This window comes from Homo sapiens, chromosome 14, assembly GCF_000001405.40.
Source record: "Homo sapiens chromosome 14, GRCh38.p14 Primary Assembly".
Classification (NCBI taxonomy): Eukaryota; Metazoa; Chordata; class Mammalia; order Primates; family Hominidae; genus Homo; species Homo sapiens.
Window position 1 is genome coordinate 75,334,024 of NC_000014.9, and position 866 is coordinate 75,334,889.

At 52.4% G+C, this 866-nt stretch overlaps 1 annotated feature.

The window, feature by feature from the left end:
* Window positions 1-500: an enhancer, noted in NCBI's record as "H3K4me1 hESC enhancer chr14:75800727-75801226 (GRCh37/hg19 assembly coordinates)". NCBI's record gives its function as "activates a minimal SCP1, AML or CMV promoter by ChIP-STARR-seq in primed H9 embryonic stem cells {active_cell/tissue: H9 hESC(primed)}" and the evidence as "EXISTENCE:reporter gene assay evidence [ECO:0000049][PMID:30033119]".

Consider the following 866-nt stretch of genomic DNA (forward strand, 5'->3'; position numbering starts at 1 on the left):
CGGGTGGTATCACCAGTGGACAGGCGAACTTCAGGCCAGAGAGTGCCTTCCTCCAGGGCTTTAGGGGAAAAGGGCGACGAGGCCGTGGTGGTCGGCGCCCTGAATACCCCGAGGGGCCAGGGCCCCTTTTTCTACATGAAGACCTGGGCCCGTTCCCTCCCGGGTTCTTCCACTCCCATCTCAGCCAAGTGCTGATCTAATAACTCAGTGGAAGCGCCCAGAGAAGAACAGGGTCGCCGTGGTTAGAGACGCTGTTCCCCTCCGCGCCTGACTCCGCAGTTACTTTGTTACTTAACCGCCCTTCTGCTCATTTGACAAGCCCTGAGCGCACATTTGCAGAGCTTCCTTCCGGGACTTCGTGGCACGGATTGCAAGAGGCCCCTACTCTGGCAAGGACTTGACTCAGGGAAATTCTTTCTGTCCTTTCTTACTAGAAAAGGCATAAATTGGAGGTGAGCCTCCTTGATTAGAATGGGCACAATGGCTGGTGGCCACGAGACCCAGAAGAGGTCACTGGTGGTGTTGCTTCCCAGACAGCCAGCCAATGTTGGTGAGACTACAGTGAAAAGAGGCAGATTGAACTAACCAGACCTGGGACTTGTCTTCATCTGCAAACGGTAGTAACAGCGGTTAACCCCCTGAGCGCTTCTGACATGCTGAACGCTGTTCCAAGCCCTGCTCTAATGCATCGAAGGCATGTTCTAAACATGCATTATCTAATAACGCTATTCCCGAGTTTACAGATGAAGAATCACAGCCACTAAGAGATGACATCACTTGGTGAAGGTCACATAGCTTCTGGGGCCAGGGTTCTGTTTTGCCTTTGTGAAGAACAGTGAACATGCTCTGCACTTTTCTAAAGTAGA